This window comes from Homo sapiens, chromosome 21, assembly GCF_000001405.40.
Source record: "Homo sapiens chromosome 21, GRCh38.p14 Primary Assembly".
In the NCBI taxonomy this organism is placed as follows: domain Eukaryota; kingdom Metazoa; phylum Chordata; class Mammalia; order Primates; family Hominidae; genus Homo; species Homo sapiens.
In genome coordinates this window covers 25,030,308-25,054,028 of record NC_000021.9, presented here as the reverse complement: position 1 = coordinate 25,054,028, position 23,721 = coordinate 25,030,308, and the positions used below count along the sequence as shown (strand labels likewise).

The 23,721-nt window shown below is 35.2% G+C and overlaps 1 long non-coding RNA gene and 1 pseudogene across 1 annotated transcript in view; one reads left to right on the top strand and one right to left on the bottom strand.

Annotated features, from left to right (window-relative positions):
- The window catches only part of LINC01692 (long intergenic non-protein coding RNA 1692), a 217,197-nt gene that overhangs the window by 3,718 nt on the left and 189,758 nt on the right, over nt 1–23,721 (bottom strand). The window lies entirely within an intron of this gene.
- On the top strand, nt 22,109–23,011 carry LOC100419737 (MIA SH3 domain ER export factor 2 pseudogene; annotated as a pseudogene).

The following is a 23,721-nucleotide window of genomic DNA, read 5'->3' as shown; positions in this document are numbered from 1 at the left end:
TGCACACATTGGCATTTATTTAGTTATTTCTGGCAATTCCAACTGAAGTCTAATAAATAGTGGAGGCGGCCGGGCGCGGTGGCTCACGCCTGTAATCTCAGCACTTTGGGAGGCTGAGGTGGGCGGATCCCGAGGTCAGGAGATCAAGACCATCCTGGCTAACACGGTGAAACCCTGTGTGTACTAAAAATACAAAAAAGCCGGGCGTGGCGGCGGGCTCCTGTAGCCCCAGCTACTCGGGAGGCTGAGGCAGGAGAATGGCGTGAACCTGGGAGGCGGAGCTTGCAGTGAGCCGAGGTCGCGTCACTGCACTCCAGCCTGGGCGACAGAGTAAGACTCTGTCTCAAAAAAATAAATGAATAAAAAATAAATAAATAAATAGTGGAGGCTATAGATTCTTCATCCCTCTTTATCTGAACCTTTCCAATAGTTTTCACTTGTGGACCTGATGAAATGTCAGTTTTCATGCTTCACTTTTCTTGGCAGCAAGATTGGGTTGAGGCCTAGGCTTGTCCCATATAACATTGTATCTCTATGGAAAAAATGATTGCTTAGAGATTGGGCACAAGGATCCAGTTAGGCTAACTAAAATCTTCCTGTACACTTTTCTGCTTCAATCGTGGCGAATACAATCCATCTTTCTTTTAGATCACTAAGTGGAAGGATAGACTTTGGAGATTGATGGATGCCATCTTTCTTTCTTTTAAAATTATGCTTGGGAACACTTAAAACAAGACCTACTCTCAACAAAATCTTAAGTGTAGAACACAGTATTGTTACCACAGGCACAATGTTATACAGCAGATTTGAAGAACTCAGTCATTTTGCATAACTGAAACTTAATACCCATCGAATAGCAGTTTCCCATTTGTCCCTATCCCCTGGCCCTGGCAACCACCATTCTATTCTATTCTCTGCTTCTATGTTTTGCTATTTTAGATACCTTATAGAATTGGAATCATGCAGTATTGATCTTCTTGTGACAGACTTATTTCACTTAGCTTCAACGTTGTTGCATATTGCAGCATTTCTTCCTTTTGTAAGGTTGAATAATATTCCATTGTGTGTATATACCACATTTCTTTATCCATTTATCCTTTGATGGACATTTAGGTTGTTTCCACATCTTGGCTATTGTAAATGGAACAAACATCGGGGTACAAGTATCTCTTTGATATCCTAATTACAATTCTTCTGGATATCAATTTGGGATATACAATCCCTACAGTGAGATTGATGGATCATATGGTAATTCAATTCTAATACATTCTTTTAGGAAACTCCGTTCTGTTTTCATAGTAACGTTTCACACTTCTACCAAGAGTGTAAAAAGATTCCAATTTCTCCACATCTTCATCAACCCTTATTGTCTTGTGTTTTTTTTCTTGATAATAGTCATTCTGATAGGTGTGAGGTGATATATCATCGCAATTTGGATTTGCATTTCACTGATAATTTGTGATATTAGCACCTTTCCACACACCTGTTGGTCTTTGTATATGTTCTTTGGAGAGAGATCTATTCATGTCCTTCCCTCATTTTTCAGTTGGGTTATTTGTTTTATTGCTATGAAGTTGAATGAATTTCTTATATATTTTGGATATACCACTTTTCATATGCATGGCTTGCAAATTCTCCTATTCCATAGGTTGTTTCTTCACTCTGCTAATTGTTTTCTTTGCTATGGAGAAATGTTTTAGCTTGATGTAGTTCCATTGTTTGTTTTTGCTTTCGTTGCCTATGCTTTTGGTGTCATAGCCAAGAAGTCATTGCCAAAACCAATGTCACGGAGCTTTTTCCTTGTTTTTCTTTTTCCTTTTTTTTTTTTTTTTTTTTTGAGACGGAGTCTTGCTCTGTCGCCCAGGCTGGAGTGCAGTGGCGTGATCTCGGCTCACTGCAATCTCCACCTCCCCGGTTCACGCCATTCTCCTGCCTCAGCTTTCTGAGTAGCTGGGACTACAAGCGCCTGCCACCACGTCCGGCTAATTTTTTTGTATTTTTATTAGAGATGGGGTTTCACCTTGATAGCCAGGATGGTCTCGATCTCCTCACCTTGTGATCCTCCTGCCTCAGCCTCCCGCTGGGATTACAGGCGTGAGCCACCGCACCGGCCCCTTATGCTTTTCTTTTAGGAGTTCTATAGTTTCAGGTCTTATCTTTAGGTCTTCAGTCCATTTTGAGTTGATTTTGTGTATGGAGTAAGATAAGGGTCTAATTTCATTCTTTGCAAGTAGATATCCAGTTATTCCAAAACCATTTGTTGAGGAGACTATATTTTCTCTATTGTGTATTCTTGGCACTATTGTCCATAATCAATTAATTTTTAAAAATGCATTAGTTTTTCTATTCTATTCCACTTGAATGTATGTCTGTCTTTATGCCAGCACAATACTATTTTAATTATCATAGTTTTGTAACACATTTTGAAATTTGGAAGTGTGTTGCCTTCAGTTTTCTTCTACTTTCTCAAGATTGTTTTGACTGCTTGAGGTCTTTTGTCATTCCAAATAAATTTAGAATTGATTTTTCCATATCTGTAAAAAATGCCATTGGGATTTTGGTAAGAATTTCATTGAATCTGTAGATTCCTTTGTGTAGTATGAACATTCAAACAATATTAATTCTTGTAATCCATAAACACAAGATGGCTTTCAATTTATTTGTGTCTTCTTTAATTTCTTTCATCAATGTTTATTTTCCAATGTATGTCTTTTATCTCCCTAGATAAGTTAATTCCTATCTTTTTCTTTTTGATTCCATTGTAAATGAGATTTTTTAAAAAATTTTCTTTTGGATAGTTCATTATTAGTGTATAGAAATGCAACTGATTATTTCATATGTGGATTTTGTATTCTGCAATTTTACTGAATTTGCTTATTAGTTCTAATAGGGTTTTTTGGGGGAAATTCTTTATGGTTTTCTACATATGAATTCCTGTCATCTGTAAACAGAGATAATTTTGCTTGTTTCTTCCTGATTTGGGTGTCTGTTGTTTCTTTTTCTTGCCTAATTATTCCAACCAGGACTTCCTGTACTATGTTGAATAAAAGTGGCGAGACTGGGCATCCTTGTCTTGCTCTTGATCTTACAGGAAAAGTTTTTGTTTTTTTATCACTGAGTATGATGTTAACTGTGGGCTTGTCAGATATGGGCCTTTATGAAGTTAGGGCACGTTCCTTCTATATCTGATTTGGTTTTCACCATGAGTGATTGTTGAATTTTGTCAAATTCTTTTTCTGCATCTATTGACTAAAGGATATGATTTTTATTCCTCAGTCTGTTAATGTAGTAAATCACATTATTGATTTGTGTATATTGATCCATCCTTGGATCCCAGAGATAAATATCACTTGGTCATTGTGTATGATTGTTTCAATGTGCTGTTAAATTAAGTTTGCTAGTATTTTGTTGAGGGTTTGTGCATCTACATTCATCAGGCATATTTGCCTGTAGCTTTCTTTCCTTGAAGTGTCTTTGTCTGACTTTAGAATCAAAGTAATGCTGGACTCATAAAATAAATTTGTAAATGTTTTCTCTTGAATCTTTTTTGAAGAAATTGAAAATGATTGACATTAAGTCTTTAAATGCTTTGTAGATTTCTACATTGCAGCCATCTCTTCCCGGGCTTTTCTTTGTGAGAGGTTGTACTTACAGATTGAATTTTGTTATAGTTATAGGCCTTTTCAGATATTCTGTTTTTTTCATGGTTCAGTTGTGATAAGTTGTATATTTATAGGGATTATCTATTTTCTCTAGATTATCTGGTTTGTTGGTGTATAATTATTCATTAAGTCTTTTCTTACCCTTTGTATTTCTTTGGCATCATTTATAATGGTTCCTCTTTCATTTCTGATCTTATTTATCTGAGCATTCTCTCTTTTTTCTTAGTTTAGCTAATGGTTTGTCAATTTTTGGATCTTTTTAAAATTACAATTTTTAGTTTCACTATTTTTTTCTATTTTTTCCTAGTCTCTATTTCGCTTATTGCTCCTCTAACATTTATTATTTACTTTCTTCTGCTACTTTTGAGCTTAGCTTGTTCTTCTATTTCTAGTTTGTTGAGATGGAAAGTTAGGTTGTTTATTGAGGTCTTTATTCTGTATTATTGTACACATTTATTGCTATAAAATGTTCTCCCAGTACTGCTTTTGTTGTGTACCATAAGTTTTGCTATGTTGTGCTTATATTTTTGTTTGCTGAAAATAGTTTCTAATAGCACTTTTGATTTTCTTTTACCAATTGGTTACTCAAAAGTGTGTTTTTAAATTTCCCAAATATTTGTGACTTTTCTGGCTTTTCTTCTGATATTTATTTGTAGTTTAATTCTATTGTAGTCAGAAAAGGTACTTAGTAAGATTTCAATGTTCTTAAATTTGCTAAGGGTTGTTTTTGTGACCTATCATTTGATGTATCCTGGAAAATTTTCCATGTGCACGTTGGAAGAATGTATATTCTGTTGCTGTTGGGTGGAATGTTCTCTATATGTCTATTAGTTTCATTGGGTTTACAGTAGCAGTGCCCAGCCTTTTTGGACCAGAGACTGGTTTCATGTAAGACAGCTTTTCCATGCGAAGGGAGGGTCGGGGGTGGTTTCTGATTCTCACGAGAAGTACAGAACCTAGATCCCTACCATGTGCAGTTCACAATATGGTTCATTCCCTGTGAGAATCTAATGCCACTGCTGATCTGACAGAGGCAGAGCTCAGGCTGTAATGCTACCTGTCCCACAGCTCACCTCCTGCAGTGTGGCCCAGTTCCTAACAGGACATGGACCAACACTGGTCTGTGGCCCAGGGATTGGGGGTCCCTGGTCTATAGTATTGTTCAAGCCTGTTATTTCCTTATTGACTTTATTTCTGGACTTTCTATCCCTTATTGGAAGTGGGGTATTGAAGTGTCCAAATATTCTGGTATTAATGCCTATTTATTTCTTCAGGTCTGTCAAAGTTTGCTCTAGATATTAGGCACTCTGATGTTCTGTGCATATATATTTTTAATTGTTGTATTTTCTGGAGTGATTGACCCTCTAGTCATTACATAATGTACTTGTCTCCTGTGACAGTTTTTGATTTAATGTTGATTTTGTCTAAGGACAGCTACTTCTTCTCTGTTTAGGTAACCGTTTGCATGAGACATCTTTTCCATACCTTCACTTTCAGTCTATGTGTTCCTCCAATGGAAGGACTTACTATTTCCATTTTGTTCATTATTTTCTGTCTGTCTTGCAGTTCTTTTGTAGTTCTCTTTTCCTCTCTTGCTATTTTGTTATATGGTTTAAATCATACCGAGGTTATAAATAATATATAAACAAAACTTATAAATAAGTTTTGAAGCACAAAGTGTTTGCAATTTGATATTTGTGTAGGTAAATGTCATTTAAGCACTCTATAAAACAATATACAATATTTTTCTTTTAGTTACTGACAAGAAGTAGCTGGTACAAGCATATATGGTTGTTGTTACTCTGTACCCTGAGGGTTTTCTTTAATACCTCCTGATGGCACTACAAAATGGACAATGTTAAAGATAAGCAGGGTCTTCAGTGACAGTCTTTATCTTAGGCAGGACAGTGATGTCCACTAGGCTTAACCATGTTGAGATAATTCTCCATTGGCCCTTTGTATCTCTATTTGCCTGAAGCAATTTTGGATAAAATATATCTACCTGAAACATTTTTTTCAATACAAAAATGTATCTATTAGATACAAGTAGATGAAAACCTACCCTTCTTTTTTGGTTGATTCATATTTATCCTTTAGATTCCACTTTGAATTTTACTCTAAGTACAGGTTAGAAAGCATCCTATATGTATTTCCTAATATAACATTTATAATGCAATTTAATTTAATATTTTTATTATTTATATTCATTATGAAGACTGAAAGTTCTTTGAAAGCACAGACCATCTCTACTTAATTCATGCAATGAATATTTCCTGGGTGCCTACTATATAATATGATAGGTGCTGGGGATACAAGGATGAATAAAACTCTATTTCCCTGTGCTATCAAGAAAATCTATGGGTAAATGTAATAAAGGGATAAGACCTAATTTTGGATTTGGAGCCAGGAAAGGTAACACATTCCTGTCATTTAAGGTGACCTTTAAAGATAATAAAAGAATTAGCCACATGAACAGTGTGGTGAAGAATAGCCCAGGCAAAACATATACATATATAAGTAACCTCAATTGGGAAAGAGCTTGGTGAACTCCAGAAACAGAAAGATGAAAGTTTGACTGGTGATCAAGGAAGGTGCTGGATGCAAAGTGAGCCTGGAGATGTGGTAGAAGCAAAATTACCAAGTTCTGTAAAAAAACTGTCACGAGTTATTTTAAAAAAATGTAAATTTTGAAAATACATTTTTTAGTATGAAATCTTGAGTTATATTTATTTTTAAACTTTACAGATGTTAACACCTCCTATAAATGCAGAAATTTCTTCTAAACTGATGCCAGAATTTCAAAACAATTTAGTTACTGATGATATGCATGTTATAGAGTTTAGTAATTTACAGGATATTTTAAATACAAAAGTAAGAATAATAAGTTACCAAATCCAAATACATACTATTTTAAATTTAGTTCGTGTTGAAAATGATCACTTTAAAAAGAAAGGTCTGCTATTCTTTTCATAAATTAGAAGCTCTTGACTATAACTTTTAGCCTCATAGACATGATCAATCTTAATGGAGTGGTGAGTTTCACAAAAAAGACAAAGGTCTGAAATGTTATGCTGGTTTTGCTCAGGTGAATAAAACAATTCTTTTCTCACTTTTCTTTCATCATGGGAAAGTCAATTTTTCAAACAAAAATTATTGTGCATCCCAGTGGGAGAAGCTGAAGGTCAACATGTCACTGAGGTTTGCAGCAAAAGCTGTGGGCTTTTTGGTTGATGGAGTAGTTATTGACTGAAATATAAAGGAAATAATTTTTCTCTGTCTCTTTTTGTTTGTAGCAGCAAATTCACTAGAGTTCTCTTTACTAGGGACCATGCAATCATGTCTGTTTGTCTCACACAACTTGTTTATCCCATCTATCTGACTCCATGATTTTCCTTTTTGAAGCAGCCAAGTCCAGTCCTCCCAATAGAATTTCACAGTGAGTTACTCAGGTTCTACTGAATAATACTGGTTGGGGTAAGAATACTGGTTCTATTTTGTTTCTTTCTCCTCCTCTGCTCAAAATATTGGTGCAAATGTGAAGTTAAGACCCCTGAAGCTTCCTCAAGTCATACCTTCCAGAATATCAAATGCATATTTTTGAACATACTTGCTTCCAAATCGACAGTATAACATCAGTTTCTGTAACTCTCAATATCTTTTCTCAGCAAGGGAGAATAACATCTCCATAGAAATTTAAAGATGACTCTCCAAACCTAGACGAAATAATAAATAAGTAAAATAAATAAAAAAATAAAAACTCTACCAGGAAGGCAATGCAGTCTCCCAGAGAGGCCAAATACCTGTGCTCCTCAGAGAAAGCATATCATGGATGCTCAGGGGTGATTAAAAGCTATTTAAATGGGATTTTTTTCCCCCAAGATTCTGGAAGTTTCCTTTTAACAGATATTTTAAGTGAGTTATTCATCTGTTCGGATTCCACTGGGCACTTCATACTGGTCTTTATACACCTTCTCTGATGAAGGTCTGTTCCTGACCATCTCGGTCAAATCCCGGGGTGATCTTGATAAGGATTCTGTTTAAGTAGAAGATCCTCCTTGCTCCCAAAGAATCACTGTTTAATTTCAGTCAGTCCCCATAGGGAGTGGAACACATTTGCACAAAAAGTATGTTAAGAGAGTGAGCATTTTTTTTTGGTTTCACATAATCAAATCTCTCTTTTTAATTATCTCCTTTTACATCACTATCCCAGGCTGAAGCCACTCACGTCCCTTTTACTTCTACAATGACAAGGCTGCCTGGTCTGCCATTCACTGGAGACAAAAAGTGTTCCATTAGACAGGAAAGAAATTGAAGTTTTACTTTTATTTCAACAGGATACTAATATCCTAGGCCCTTTTCATTTTCTTCTTCCTTTTTTCTAGTTGAAGCATTGCAGGATGAATGCATAGCTATGAATAAATACTTAAAGCCATTCCATTTATAGAAGTGTATTTTTCAATGAGAAAGTGAAAGCCGAATTCTTTAATTTAATTTGACAAACACTTCCTCACCTAAAAGTGTGTATGTATTTTGTACTTATTTTTTGCTATCTGAAGATGAGAAGCGAGAGATGAGGTATATAGATGAGAGGATTATCAACGAGCAAGGCCAACAGGATCAGAAAAATAATGTACAGTATATGATAAGCATAATCCTATCAGAAGTGTGAAAGGAAATGGTAATAATGAGTATACTCATTTTCTCATTAGCTCCTAGACTTTTCTATCTCAATTTGAACTAGAACTTTAGGCTCACTATGTGCAAATCCTTACTCATATTGTATTTTCATATTATATTTTTTCCTGCTTCTCCTCTCTTCAGTCTTGCAATCTGACTTGCCCTTTACTTTGTATTTATTTCCTGCTTTCCTAGATTAATAGCATCAACATCTGCTTAGCATCTCAGTTAGAAATCACAAAATTGTCTGCAATTCTTCCATGTTCCACATCTTGGAGTGTCATTCATAACCATGACACTCACTACTCTAGCGGGTCAGATATATCCATCTCTTCCACTCCATTGGCTCTGCCCAATTTTCTATTTAGATGCTCATAAACTCTTCACTGTGCTATAACATAGTTTCTGGCTGCCAGCATCTCCTCAATCTGCACTGTCATGAGAGTTATTTTCCAAGACTGTATCTATACCCAATCAAGCCACTGAGTTAACAAACTAACTGTTCCCTGAATTTTATGACATAAAAACTTGAATTCTCTTTCTGATATATGTAAAAGACTATTCAAATCCTGTGAGGCTGACAATTTATAGTTCTCATTTCTCCACGTCATACTCCTTTGAATTTTGCAATGTAGTACCCATCTTTATGTGTCACTATTTATGAATTGCTTTTGCTGTTTAATTTCTCTTTGTTAATATCATATGTATTCCTGTCTCCAAAATAGCATCTGTTCCACATTTGGTATCATTTATCTTGAATTTAAAGAAATATGTAAAGCACCTTCTATGCTGATTCTTTTCCAGAAATAAGAAAATATTCTCCTGCCTATAAGTTGTGCCCACCCTGATACCAATCTTTTCTAGCAACATTTTTTTATAGGTGAACTATCAGATTTTTAAAGATACCATACCATTTTAAAATCTTACATTTTTCAAGACAAAACTAATTATTTGCTCTTTGAAAATTCTTTATAATATGTCAAGTTCTGTCCTGCAGTATACATAAATGTTCTACATTTATTTAAATGTAAGAATCTCTGAGGATCTGCATTGTTCTTTTTAGACTTGTGAATCTTTTATGAATTTTTGAAAATTTCATTATAAACCGACATTATATTCCTGAAAGGGCCATGACTGTTTCTGGACATCAAATTCTTAAATATTCTAAGGAGCCAGAGGCAATAGGTTTCTAACAGGCTTTCAGAGTTGTTTTTATTATGATCATTGTTCAACATTCTTGACTTAATTTCAACCTATTTTCCTTTAAAATGATTATTCTTAGTTCCTGCAAATATTCTCTTTGTCATTTGGGCTATATTTCCTGTATTCCACTGTGGTGTTTTGATAAATCTAATAATCTTTCTTCTTAACTGACACTGCAGGGTTTTAAGTTTATCACTTGATTGACATATAATTGCAATGCTTATTTCCTGAATCCCTAATTCCAGCCGTCTGGCTTAAGTACAGTTTTGCTCATTGTTGTATTAGAATAAAATATTTCTCATATTTTGTTTATGTTTCTAAGGCAGTCAACATATTCTCTGCCATGAGAAAATAACATATCTTCTTTTAATCCACTCCTATCTACTCCTGTCCCCCTTTGTTTGAACTGTTTCCATGTCTACAGTGGGACCTTTTTTCTTTACACAAATAGCAATTCAATATTCTGTGCTATAGCTTTTCAATTATACAGACTGTGATGGGCTAAATTGTGTCCCCTGAAAATTCATATGTTGAAGCCATAATCCCCCAGTACCTGAGAATGTGCCAGTATTTAGAGGCAGGGCCTTTAAAGAGATAATTATGTTAAAATGAGATTACTAGGGAGGGCCCTAAACCAAACTGACTGGTGTTCTCCCAAGAAGAGATTTGGACACACACAGAGACATCAGAAGTGTGTGTGCACAGAGGAAAAACCATGAGAAGAGGCAGCAACGGCACAGTCATCCGCAAACCAAGGAGAGGGACTCAGCAGAAACCAGCCCTTCCAACACCTTCATCTCAGACTTCCAGCCTCTAGAATTATAAATTCCTGTTGGTTAAGCCACCCAGTCTGCAATATTTTGTCATGGAAGCCCGAGCAAACTAATGCATAGATAAATAAATTACCTGTAAAAACACATGACACAATAATTAAATGTACATACAACAAACTAATTATATGTAAATATTTTGTGATAAATCGGAAGAAAAGATAGGAGAAATGTTCAACCTGGTTATGTTGTCTGTAAGCCCCTGGGCTTCTGCTGTTAGTGCTTCTATTGAAACTATGTTATTCAAATAAATTCTGAATTCATTACCTTTAAAACCTTAGTTAATGCAGGGATAAATGGAAAATATAAACTCGATTTCTGAGGAAAGATTACGAGCACTCTTATGTTAGTTATGTTTATTGAAAAAGAAAAATGGTTTAAAGAAAAAGGTTATTGAAAAGGAGAATTAGTATCTCCCTACAGATCATTTTTATTCATGTGAGGGAACACGGTAGTCAGGGCGAACACACCTGATCTTGAATTTCAACCATGCTACATCCTCTTTGGAAGACACTGGAAAAGAGCTTGGCCTCGCTGCCTGGATCATAATACTCAGGAGTATCTTTTCTTTGTACATAAAGAAACCTTTTAATACCTCACAGGCTTTTTGTTAGGATTACATGTATGCAGCATGTATGCACCATAACCTAATAGAGTATTTAACACACGCAAGCCATCAGTCTGCTTGCTGGTAGAGATATCATCTTTAAAAAACTCAGTATATGCATTAAGAGAAGTCCCTAGTGGGTGTCCTTAGAAAGATTTTGAGGCAGTTTAAAGGTGGAGAAACATTGTCTTCAAATACATAGTTAAATGACTTAATTTAAAAAAGATTTAAAAGAAAAGTTCAAAACTATGTACATCAGACAATTCATAATAAGTTGTGGATTTGCTATACTTATGATCCGTTATGCCACTTGTTCTTTTTGACACATTTATCTATTCCGTTGACTTTAATCAGACAATGGCAACTCCCTCTTTGTCCTCATATTATTGCCTTGGACTTTTCTAAAATTTCAATGAGGAAGACTACTTTAATCTTAGGAAATCGATAGCTCTACAACTGAGAAAGTCAACATTTAATTGGGTTGTATGTATCAGAGGATAAGTTTATTTTATAGAAAGAAGAAAAGTTATCAAGCTTAGTTATCAGAAATGAAGTTAATTAGTAAATTTCAGAGGTACTTTGGTAATTACTGATTTTAAAAAGAGAAATAAATGGACCCAGGGGAGAGAAAAAAGAAAGAGAAAGAGAGGGAGAGAGAGGGGGAGAGATAGAGGAAGAGAAAGAGAGAGAGATTGGACACAAGCAGAATTATGGAAATTTTATCATTCTTTTGACCACTGGAGTAAGATGAATTAAGTAAGACCACAAGGGAAATTAAGTTAGTAAAAGTCAGGTGTCACCTAAGGCTGGAGTTGTGTCAATGCCACTCCTTGTACCACCACCAACACCCTTACCATAAGGTGATTACAGTTAAATGAGAAAAACAAATGCAAATAGAATAAACAGCAACTAGAGGAGATGATATAAGTGGTCTAATGGGCACCCTTTGTAAAAAGTCCTGAGGAGGGGTCTAGAAGGGGTCTGTGCCATAAATAAAAGTGAGTTTATGAAATTAAAAAGAAAGCCTCCCTTGGATATAGAAAGATTGCCATGTGCTTGAGAGAGCTTCTGGTTAAAGCTCAAGCCTCGTGCTTCTCCCAGTGAGTTGCACTGAAGTCAGTGTAATCAATCAGTCATGTTGTGTGTACTCGTGGAGTCTTTAATCTTTCAGCATCACAGGCTGGGAGGAATGTTCGGGTACAAAATGGCAGAATCTCATCCTTCTGAGCATCTGTGTAAGGAGATTTGGAGAATTCATAGCAATTGCAGCTCCTTTGATTCAGCCTGGTCTCTGCCTTTGCTCTTGCCCAGGAAACCAGTTTTTATCCACAACCAGAGGGAGGCAATAGAGAAGGAAGATCCCCATAATGATTTGCATTGTGTATATTTTGAAAATGACTTTATTAAAAAACAATTGTAGAAAGCATTCTAGTTTTGTAAAAGGGAGAATAAATATGTATATGCATTTTCAGATCAATTTTATTACTTCATGCTTATGAAATTACATGATAACTGCCCTGCTTAGAGAAATAGTAAAATGTTGACATTGATGATCTTTAAATATAGATATGCCAATTTAGGAAGCTAAGTTTCTTGTGTTGACTGACGAATTAACATGGAATTCTGGGTTTTCTAGAGTGTGTTTAATATGATACAATTAAAGTATAATACCTCTGGCTAGTGTGAAATAGAGTGGGCTGTTAGGGAACATAAGTCAGGGACTGTCATGTGAAGCCCTCAGAAACAGATGGAAGATCCTTTGCAAGCCTGGTAACCCATCAAACCTTAGATACTTGGCTTTTTTGGAGACATCTTGTTAAGGTGTTTGGTTAAATTTCAGAAAACTCCAATTCCAATCCCCTTTGTCCAGCACTGACCACTAATTTATAGTAAGAAAACTCATCTAATACTATTTTAATGAAAGGCTGAAAAAAGCAGATGGGCACAAAGAAGTAGATTGCCAATAATTCAGCAAAAGTAAAGTGGCAGTTTTCCCTTGGTGGTACACAGAAAATTTTCCAGTTACACATTGTATTGTGCCCACTCGTAGCTGCCGTTCATGCTTCGTCTTCAAGTATGCAAAATAATTATGGAAAACAGCAGCCTCACAAAAGCCACACTTATAAAGACAGGCATTAAAACTACCTTTCATTCATACTTTTGCCTTGCTGCTGTTTGGAGTTCCTTGTCTAAGAGAACTTCGAAAATCTGTTTGGGATTCCTACCATTTCTTCAAATTCCTCAGAAGAACAATTGTATTCTGGGCAATATGATTAACGTCATAAATATTTCTCGAAGTGGCTACTATTCAGAAAGCTTAAACCCAGCGTAGGTATATGAAAGATAAGCATTGTGAAATGGAGATACTCAAATGAACTCACCTAAGTACTGGTAAACCCTTTGAGTTTTTAATTTTCATCTTTTTTACTTTGCAAGATGGCTGGAAAGTATGATGAGACTAAAAATACATTTCCAAAATAGGATAGATTTGCAAAAAAAAAAAAAAATAGTGTTTTCTCAGCTACATGTTCAATCCTGCAAGATTTTCATGTTTATCTAAGTTTTCTCACATGCCTCAGTTTTGATAACTATGCTTCACATGCAGAGAAGGAAAAAATTCAGGGCTTAATATTTTGTTTCATTTGTATCTTTTCCTTTTTATTTTTTTTTTGCTTGATAAAAGTGCTTACCAAGATCAGTCATGTTTCTCTAAAGGTGAAGACAGGAGGAAATGTGTAAACAATTGGTAGAACAAACAGGAGAGTTGCTTATTTTATTCCATCAATTACGGCGTCCCAAATCATTACAACCTCTTGCCACCTGTTTCTGTCATTGTCTCCTCCCTCCTGCTTCCTCCTTCTTCGGTTCCATTGTTGGAAGGGCTACTCAAAGGTTTCAGGAAACTAATCACACTGCACTGTTTTTAACACGTCTCTGCCCTGCGAGCCTTTCAAACAATTAGTCTCTTTGCAAGTGTTCAAAGATGTAGTACATTTTGCCAAGATTGTAAACTCTCCAGATTCCTTGCTTCCTGTTCCTGATCTACATTAACCCAGTCTTTTAAGGCTTTATTTCCAGTGGCTGATGAGAACAGAGACAGAAGATGGCACTGTTGACTCATTATCAAAAAGTCAGCAATTGCTTTAGAAAAAAAAATCTTCCATGTTAGAAAAACACAGTATTATTAGAAACTGGAAGTGAGACTACATATATAATGAAACCCAATTTTTGAATATTGTAAGAGGAAATATCAATTAAAAATTAGAGAAAGTAAACTAAGCAGTGAGAAAGTCTCACTGACTTAAATTTTCAGGAAGAGCTTGTTTCATATGGAATTCAGTTCTAGTTACATGCAGCAGAGGGATAAGATGAGATACTTGGGGTTTGGTTCAACTCCACTCTCACAAACCACAAGGCATTAGACACATTACTTAACCTCTCCCTGAGTCTAAATGTCCTTATTGTAAAATGGAGATAATAATACTTATTCTGTATGATCATTTTTTGCAATGAATGAGCACATAGTAAAAGTTCATTAATGCTGCTAGAATGTAAGTCTTTGATTATCTTGTTAATAACTCTATCAACACCAAATAGCACAATACCCAACCTAGAAAAGCTGTGTAGAAATTGATTGAGTGAAAAAAACAAAACTTAACTGAATTTTGTGTTAACTTACTGATGGTACTTAAACAAGAAGCAGGGCACATGTAAAAAATAATTAATTGGTTACCAATTTGATCGTTACAGCACTTGGCTATTTCAATCTGTCCTTTTTCTTAGGGAAATTTAATTATTTCCAATTAAACTATTGAAGATGTCTCATCATTAATAGGGAAATTTTTATATAGATTTTCAGAAGCACTAGCAGACAGCTATTTTATTTAGACAGGCAGAAATTAAAGTATTGTTTTTTAATATTCTCTTCTATTTCTTATTATAATTGTAACCATTATACCATAGCCTACCTTTCCTTTGAGAAATTTAAATGGGAAAATAACATATGGTAGAATATTTTGCCCCTCTTGTTTCCCTAAAATTTAAAGCAAAGACACATTATTTGTGCTCAGTCTACACTAATTAAACATGAATATTTTACATTAAGATACATAGAAATGAAAGGCTTACTTATCCTGTAATATTTTACGTTGTCATAATATTAACTTTAAGCATCAGGAGTTATTTAGACATCATTAAATGTATACATGTTTATTTTCATAATCCCTATGTATGTGATAGAGCTATTTAGCAAAAGTCAATTTTCTCTTTTGGGGCACACAGCCAGCCTACTTTCTTGGTCTTCTTTGCATTTGGGTTTGGACATATGACTAAATTGCAGAGAATGGAATGTGCATGAAAGCAATGCATGCCGTTTCTGTATCGACTCTTGTAGGAAGAAAGTATGCTTCCTACCCCAAAAGATCTGTATTTCTTTGTACTCACTAGATGCAAATGACAGATAGACCCTAAAGGGTACAGAGCCACAAAATGGAAAGAATCTGGGTTGATGAATCTCCACATAAAGGAATTCATCCTTTGCTTAGTAACTGCTAGGTAAGTGGGAAATCAGCTTCTCTTTGTTCTATTAGTTTTTATCACCCCAAATAATATGCCTGTAAAAAATAGTGAGCTAGCAATCACAGCATAACATATGATTTACTGTCACTCTTTAGAACATTCTAGGCTAAAATAGGGACACCAAGTAATAAGTGCCTTTTGACAGAAAGGCCAGGATGCTCTGCTCATTCAGCTAATCAGCAATTCTATATAGTATACGCTCACTTTTCATTAACTTATTTTTTTAATTAAAAATACCAAATAGTAGCTCACTGAGTGTTAATATTTGGGTACATTCGCACAGATATCTGGGCTTCACCTCATTATGTTTCTACTCTATTTCCTCCATTAATCTGTCCAATGGAGGAAGGATATTTAAAATTAAAATTGATGGCATCCACTTAAACTTTCCAAAGAGTGGGGAGTGAGGGGCATAATATTTATTTCTTATTCATTACTTTTTCTTCTTCTCTCAGAGTTTAAGTGTAGCAAGAAGGGAGAATTAGAAATCCTATTACAGTATTTTTTTTTTAACCATAGAAGAAGAGGACCCAGAGAGGTGACATGTTGAGTGAAACACAATATTCAGCCTTTAAAGGTACAGACATTCTTCATAAACCTTGACAGATGCATCCAAATGTTTTTGGTGTAATTTACAGTGAGGGTCACATGCTGATTCTTTTCCATTCCCTGCTCCTCACTTCCTGCTCTGTGCCTCAGGAGAATGGTTCATGTAGATGCTGTCTTTCTGGCTTCCAGTTAGACTTAGCTAGGGGGAAGTACTTGCAGAAAGTGGATGATAGAAGGGGAGAGAGGGCAGGGTATCTCTTCTCTTGCTCACCCCCTCTTCTGCACAGGATTTTGGAAAGCCCTGATATGTTCTCTAGCACCTGGAGCTGCTGCCATGCATTCCTTTCTTGCCCTTTCAGTCTTAGGGAAGGAATGGCTTCCTTGCTTTGCCAATCCGTGAGTGTTGCTGCCTCCATTTTTGCTACCTTTAAATAGTCGAAATGGTTGACCAGCAAATGGACACCACAGCATAACCAAGTTGCCACATAAATGTAACTATAACATAAAGCCTGAGAATCTTGGGTTTAGAAATGAAGAGCCATTTCCACAAATGAAGCAAAAGAAGAGCAGGCCTTCTTTTTTTCCATGACCTATGGATAATTTTGCCTAATAATACCATCTATGTAAGAGGGCGATAAAGGAATAATAAGGTTAGAAAAAAAGCAGACCTTCTGTTAAAAATAGACCTTTTTGATAGAAATTCTTTAGCTGAGGTAACACAATGTCTTTTGTCTCAGGTATTATGGTATCCAAAATTGAGTGATAACCCATTAGGGATAGCTGAAGAAAATAGAGATCTATACTGAAGGCAAACGCTAATGTGTTTAAAGTATCCTGAGAGTGAGACCCTCTGCTTTCTGGCAGTTAGCAGAGGTTGTATGTGTTAAAGGCAGCTGGGTTTGTCATCAGTTAAAAGAAACAAGAGAACAAGAATGTGATGTATAAGGCAAGGCAAATGTTCCAGTATCACTTCCCAAAAGTATACAGCCTAAGAACAAGAAAGTCTATGGTTTTGAGTTTTGCAGGCAAAATGGACAATTTAAACAACTTCAAGAGAGCACCTTCTATAGTTTGGGGTTTATGATACAAAACCTCAGTAACTAACTAACTAACTTTGTGCTGGGTGGGGGCTTGAAATTTTTGGTGTTAGGTTTTCTAAAAGACCTTAACCTTTATGAGAGACCTATTAATATTTTAAGGCTTTAAAATGTTATTATGTTTGAGAAAAATAACTATGCAGTCTGTATGGCTATAAAGATAAACTGGAGATCAAAATGTCATTAATAGATAAAAACTCAAATTCAATTTTAGATAGATTTTTAGAACAGTGAAGGCTCTCCATAGCAGCAATAGGAAGCTATGTGAGGTGGTGAACATTTTAGTATTACGTATGGTTTAGCAGAAATAATATGGTCAGGGAAATAAATACAGGCATCGTGGTTGAACTTCATGGGATTAGGCTAGATGATGTAAAGGTCTTACCTCATTTTAAGATTTTATAATTTTAAAATTTATATTCCCCATACTGAAAAATATTATGCTTATGTATACCAGAAGGCATAAATTAACATACACTTCACGTATCTCACTATTATGATTTTTTGATATTACATATAAAGTAGGATCCATAAAGTGTAAAGTTTCAGACAGAGTTTATTTTTAGTTGCCGTACTTCTTTTCTTCATATTTGATGGCATAATTCCTATTTCAAATTATAGCCATTTAAGACTTTGCAAGGGAGTTAAGCTAGAAATTTTTCTGTTTTTAGGATACTATATGCAAACATGGAGGCTGTCAAATAAAATTTTGGAAGCTGAGAAATAAAAAAAAATTACTTTTAAACACAAGGAATCTCATGGAGTTAAAATGAGCAGTTTTGTCTCTTTCCCAGGCTTTTGGACATCACTGGGTTATAAAATTACTTTTATACTTTAAAGAGAGAAGACTGACATAGGGTTGTCGATGTTGTTTTTCAGCTACATCTATCTTAAAGAAAAGTGAATATAAAATAACTAAACTTTATTGCCACCATTTCATATAAAAGGAGAATCTTAATATATAAAACCATAATTAATTCCCTGGGTTGTATTAAAAATATTAAACAACTGATATAGTACTTGTACTAATTGGCCGATTGGCATAGACATTAGCTGCCATATTGGTAAATACCATCTAAAAATTAGCATTTGATAAATATAATCTCAGGATAAAGCACAACTTTTTATGTTTAATATTTTTGTTTTGTGAAAACTTATAATTCTGTATTTTTCTCCATTTTCCAGGATGCATAAACATCTTGGTAGACCTTAGGTCCAAGATAAAAATTTACAATGTTGATGTAAGATAACGCCGCATATCTACAACTATCTGATCTTTGACAAACCTGAGAAAAACAAGCAATGGGGAAAGGATTCCCTATTTAATAAATGGTGCTGGGAAAACTGGCTAGCCATATGTAGAAAGCTGAAAGTGGATCCCTTCCTTACACCTTATACAAAAATTAATACAAGAGGGATTAAAGACTTAAACGTTAGACCTAAAACCATAAAAACCCTAGAAGAAAACCTAGGTAATACCATTCAGGACATAGGCATGGGCAAGGACTTCATGTCTAAAACACCAAAAGCAATGGCAACAAAAGACAAAATTGACAAATAGGATCTAATTAAACTAAAGAGCTTCTGTACAGCAAAAGAAACTACCATCAGAGTGAACAGGCAACCTACAAAATGGGAGAAAATTTTCACAACCTACTCATCTGACAAAGGGCTAATATCCAGAATCTACAATGAACTCAAACAAATTTACAAGAAAAAAACAAACAACCCCATCAAAAAGTGGGCAAAGGATACGAACAGACACTTCTCAAAAGAAGACATGTATGCAGCCAAAAGACACATGAAAAAATGCTCATCATCACTGGCCATCAGAGAAATGCAAATCAAAACCACAATGAGATACCATCTCACACCAGTTAGAATGACAATCATTAAAAAGTCAGGAAACAACTGGTGCTGGAGAGGATGTGGAGAAATAGGAACACTTTTACACTGTTGGTGGGACTGTAAACTAGTTCAACCATTGTGGAAGTCAGTGTGGTGATTCCTCAGGGATCTAGCACTAGAAATACCATTTGACTCAGCCATCCCATTACTGGGTATATACCCAAAGGACTATAAATCATGCTGCTATAAAGACACATGCACACGTATGTTTATTGTGGCACTATTCACAATTCACAATAGCAAAGACTTGGAACCAACCCAAATGTCCAACAATGATAGACTGCATTAAGAAAATGTGGCACATATACACCATGGAATACTATGCAGCCATAAAAAATGATGAGTTCATGTCCTTTGTAGGGACATGGATGAAACTGGAAATCATCATTCTCAGTAAACTATCGCAAGAACAAAAAACCAAACACCGCATGTTCTCACTCATAGGTGGGAATTGAACAATGAGAACAGATGGACACAGGAAGGGGAACATCACACTCTGGGGACTGTTGTGGGGTGGGGGGAGGGGGGAGGGATAGCATTAGGAGATATACCTAATGCTAAATGACAAGTTAATGGGTGCAGCACAGCAGCATGGCACATGTATACATATGTAACTAGCCTGCACATTGTGCACATGTACCCTAAAACTTAAAGTATAATAATAATAAAATAAAATAAAAAGATAATTTTCCTGTGGCAAGAGCCCTTAGAGTGATCCTATGGCAAGGCAGTGATGAATGGTGTGAAAAGTATAGAATTCCAATCTATTAACTCACTTTTTCAGGATTTTTAAAGGATAGGTTGATCCCTTAGGAGTCATTTATAATAATGGGTATGTAGTATTCAGTGGCTTAGTTCATTTTGTGCTGCTATAACAGAATACTAAATATTGAGTAATTTATAACGAACAGAAATGTATTGTCTCAGGGTTCTGAAGGCTGGCAAGTTCAATATCAAAGTGCTGGCATCTTGTCTAGGCCTTCTTGCTGAATTATCATATGGCAAAAGGTAGAAAGGCAAAGAGGGAAAAGAGAGTCAATATAATGACATTAATCCCTCCCATGAGGCAAAGCCTTCATTGTCCAATCACCTCCACAAAGTCCCACCTCTAACTCTGCCACAGTGGCAAATAGATTAAAACATTAATTTGGAGGGGAACCAACATTTAAATCATAGCGTTTAGTGTGGAGGAAAAATGGGCAACAGAGGACATGATTCCAACTATTGAAGAGTTTCAAACCTAACTAGAGGAATAAAGAATATATACTTGAAACTATGAAGAAATAATTTTAACATAATTAATCAGTAAGTATATGATAGGAGGTTTGATCCAAATATAGAAATGCTAAGATAATATAAGTTAAAGAGATGATAACATGGAAGTAAATTTAATTTAAGAAGACTCCAAAGTTTTCCAATTCAATTTTTTTATTCTATAAGAATATTAATTCACTTATATGTTACAGATAAAATTTAGTAACCTATAATTAGACATTAGATGCTTACAGTTTGAGAATGTGTTACAATAAAGAATATTCATAATACATCTGTGCTTTATGCTTATAATGAAATCTAGGGGTTCTTGATGCAAAAGTTACTTGGGACTCTGTAACTTAAGATGTTATGTTTGCTCTCAAGATATCCTATGGTAGTCAGGTTGATGCATTAAATATTCAGTAATCACTAACTTGCTAAGGATATAGAAAAATAAAAGCAATTTTCTTTTCTTGGCTCTTGCTTGATTTTGCATTTTAAAATTAGATTTCATTCACTGCCTTTCAAATTGGTAGCTTGCATCATATTCTGCCCTCATCATCTACGCTCTGTTTTTATTCACCTTTTTTTTAAGAAGTGGCATAGACCCAAAAGTGAAATTACTTGAATTAAAGAGGAAGGCATAGTTAGCATTTTTCTAAAGCAGCACATGGAAGCCAAATAAGTTTATAAGATTTAGTTCACTCCTGTTAGAATCTGAAAGGCACATGCACTTTCTCATGAGTTAGCCAATGGCAGTTTTTTAACAATAAACTATTTCAAACTTTTCAAATAGTCAATTACAAATTGTCATGTTATGAGGTTATACTCTTCTTTTCAGTAAGCTTGAAATGCAACATTTCAATATAAACTAGAAATATATTTTAGAAAATCCCAAGCCATTGTTTACGAGAAATAAATTTGTATATCACTATCTCAAAGCGCCAAAATTGTTTTTTGAGGTGTTTATCCACAAAAAAAAGAACATCTAATGTACCATTGGAGAGATGACTCAGGAAATTGGGTATATCTGACCGATGGGCAAATTGTCATGAATGCAAGACAGCTGAAGTTCACAGAGAAGCAGAATGAGTATAGTTTGCAATGAGGCTACTCAAGCATCTAAGTTGGATGGAGACTGAGAACCAAGACTACCTTTCATCATAATAACTATCTGATCCAGGAAACTCAAATGCTGGAATATCAGATGGCAAGCAAGTAAATAATGTCACTGCTTTAGAAAATTCTTGTTAACCAAATTATTCAAGCATACAGTTTGCTCATCTGGGAAAAGAGCTGTCTTTTTAAGATAATGGTTCGTTTATCAAAACTCCCCTGAGACCCTTAACTGGCCATGCTTACCAGTCTTCAACTCTATCATGTGAAATTTTTCAGATCCAACCAGTTTCCTACCTTGAAAAACTTTCCTTAAATTGCTCAAAGCCATGCCCCAAACTTAATAAATGTCCTGTTTTATATTTTTCCTTTTAAGACACTATTGGCATTTCTCAAGGTGGAAATCTCTCTTGCTCTCATAAGTTTAACAAATCTAGGCGTGCTGTGGTGGAAGCCAGTCTTCTGATGTCACAAACGCCGTGTTTGTTGACATTAAAAAAAATGGAAGCAGGTCATGACTTGAAGACACCATAAATTTGGGAAAAGAGCAGAAAAGCAACTCACGAAAACTTTCCCTAGTGATCAATGTGGAACATCTGGAAGACATCACAGAATGACGGAGAACAACTTTGGAATCAAATACAAGACAGCTTGAATGAAAACTCTCATCTTCAGCAAAGTCCAGAACCACTCAACTAAGAAACTGTGCAATGAGAAACAAAATGGAACAAATAGCACTGTTGGAGCATTCAGACACAAGAGGTCATGAAAGATAAAGGGAGCTAATTAAAATTTCTGGCTGAATCCTGCTGAAGACCATACAGTTGCCCAATTTCTGTAGCGATCACAAGGATGGTGGGAACCTGGAAGTAGAGAAAATGAGGGAGGAAGAAAATGGTAATCACTGGCCTATCAGTCAGAACTTGATCTAAAGAGTCTTACTGTGGATGTTAACTTAAATAGGTCACTTAAAATGACCTATTTAAGGAGAAAAACAGGAAAGATTCAGAAAACGGTGTGAAGAAAATCAAATGAATGAAGAGCTTACAGGATAAGTAGAAAGTCTCCAAACTGAGCAGGCATCTTTGCAGTCTGAAAATGTGCAGCTTGAAAGGGAAATTTGGAAGCTTCAGCTAGAAAATGTAATACAACTTTAGAGAAAATCAGTGAACTGCTTAGAAATAGAGAAGGAATTTCCCAAAGTGTGTAGAAACATGAACTCCACATATCAGGTACAAAACTTTTACAAGAAGGTGGCTAAAAACAATGACAAATAATTATGGAGTGCTTCTTTCTCCCATTGAAATGAGACTCTGATTTGAGAAAAGAGCTTAAGAAAGTTGGATGGCTGCTCTGTTGACTGAGAGAAAGCTCCATGGACTCAGAAAAGAAAATGATCACAACAGGCAAATAAAGGCTAATATTAAGTTCAAGTTCCAGTTTTTCCCAAAGGACCCTTTTGTTTCTGCTGCTCCACATGCAGCTTATAGAGGCCTAGAGATGCCAGGGTGTCCGTTGAGTCATAAGGTCCCCCAGGGAGAGTCATGCATTGAGGCCTCAGGGACTGAGGGTCACCCGCAAATTTGGCTCAGCTTCTATAGCATCGGAGTCCTGAACACCCACAACCACAGCAGAATATCTGCCTTGTCATTGTAAAGTAATTTTGATATATCTCTTTTTGGTTTAGCTACTGTTATTTAATTGATGTTAAAATTGCTCTTATTTAACTAGGTACAGCATAATTTCTAAGATTGTATTTTTAAATAAAGATTTATTTAGATATCTGTTATGAATACATCATTTTTACATCACTGCAACTCCTAGAATGAAATACTGTAAATATTGTATTTTGATAAATATAAGTTCGACCGTTATTTAAACCATCACCAAAGTTTTACATACATAGAGGCATTTGAAATAATCAAGACTATTTCTGTATGCTAGAAGCTCTTGTCAGAAATCAGGACAATTATTTTAATATTTACCTAAATAACTTCTGGTTGATTTTGAAAAGCAATGCAAACAAACACACAAAAAACCTAAACAACAGCACAACCCATTCAAACTTGATACTGTTTTTATTAGCATAGCCCTAAATTTACATATTAATTTAAGAAGGTTTACATTCTGAAGTCATTTGTTTCTTGCTTTAGATTTTTAAAAATATTTTTGTTATGTTTAATATAGTGCTTGTTGTCTAAATATTTCTAAAATTCATGCAGTCAAAATCAAACGTTTAT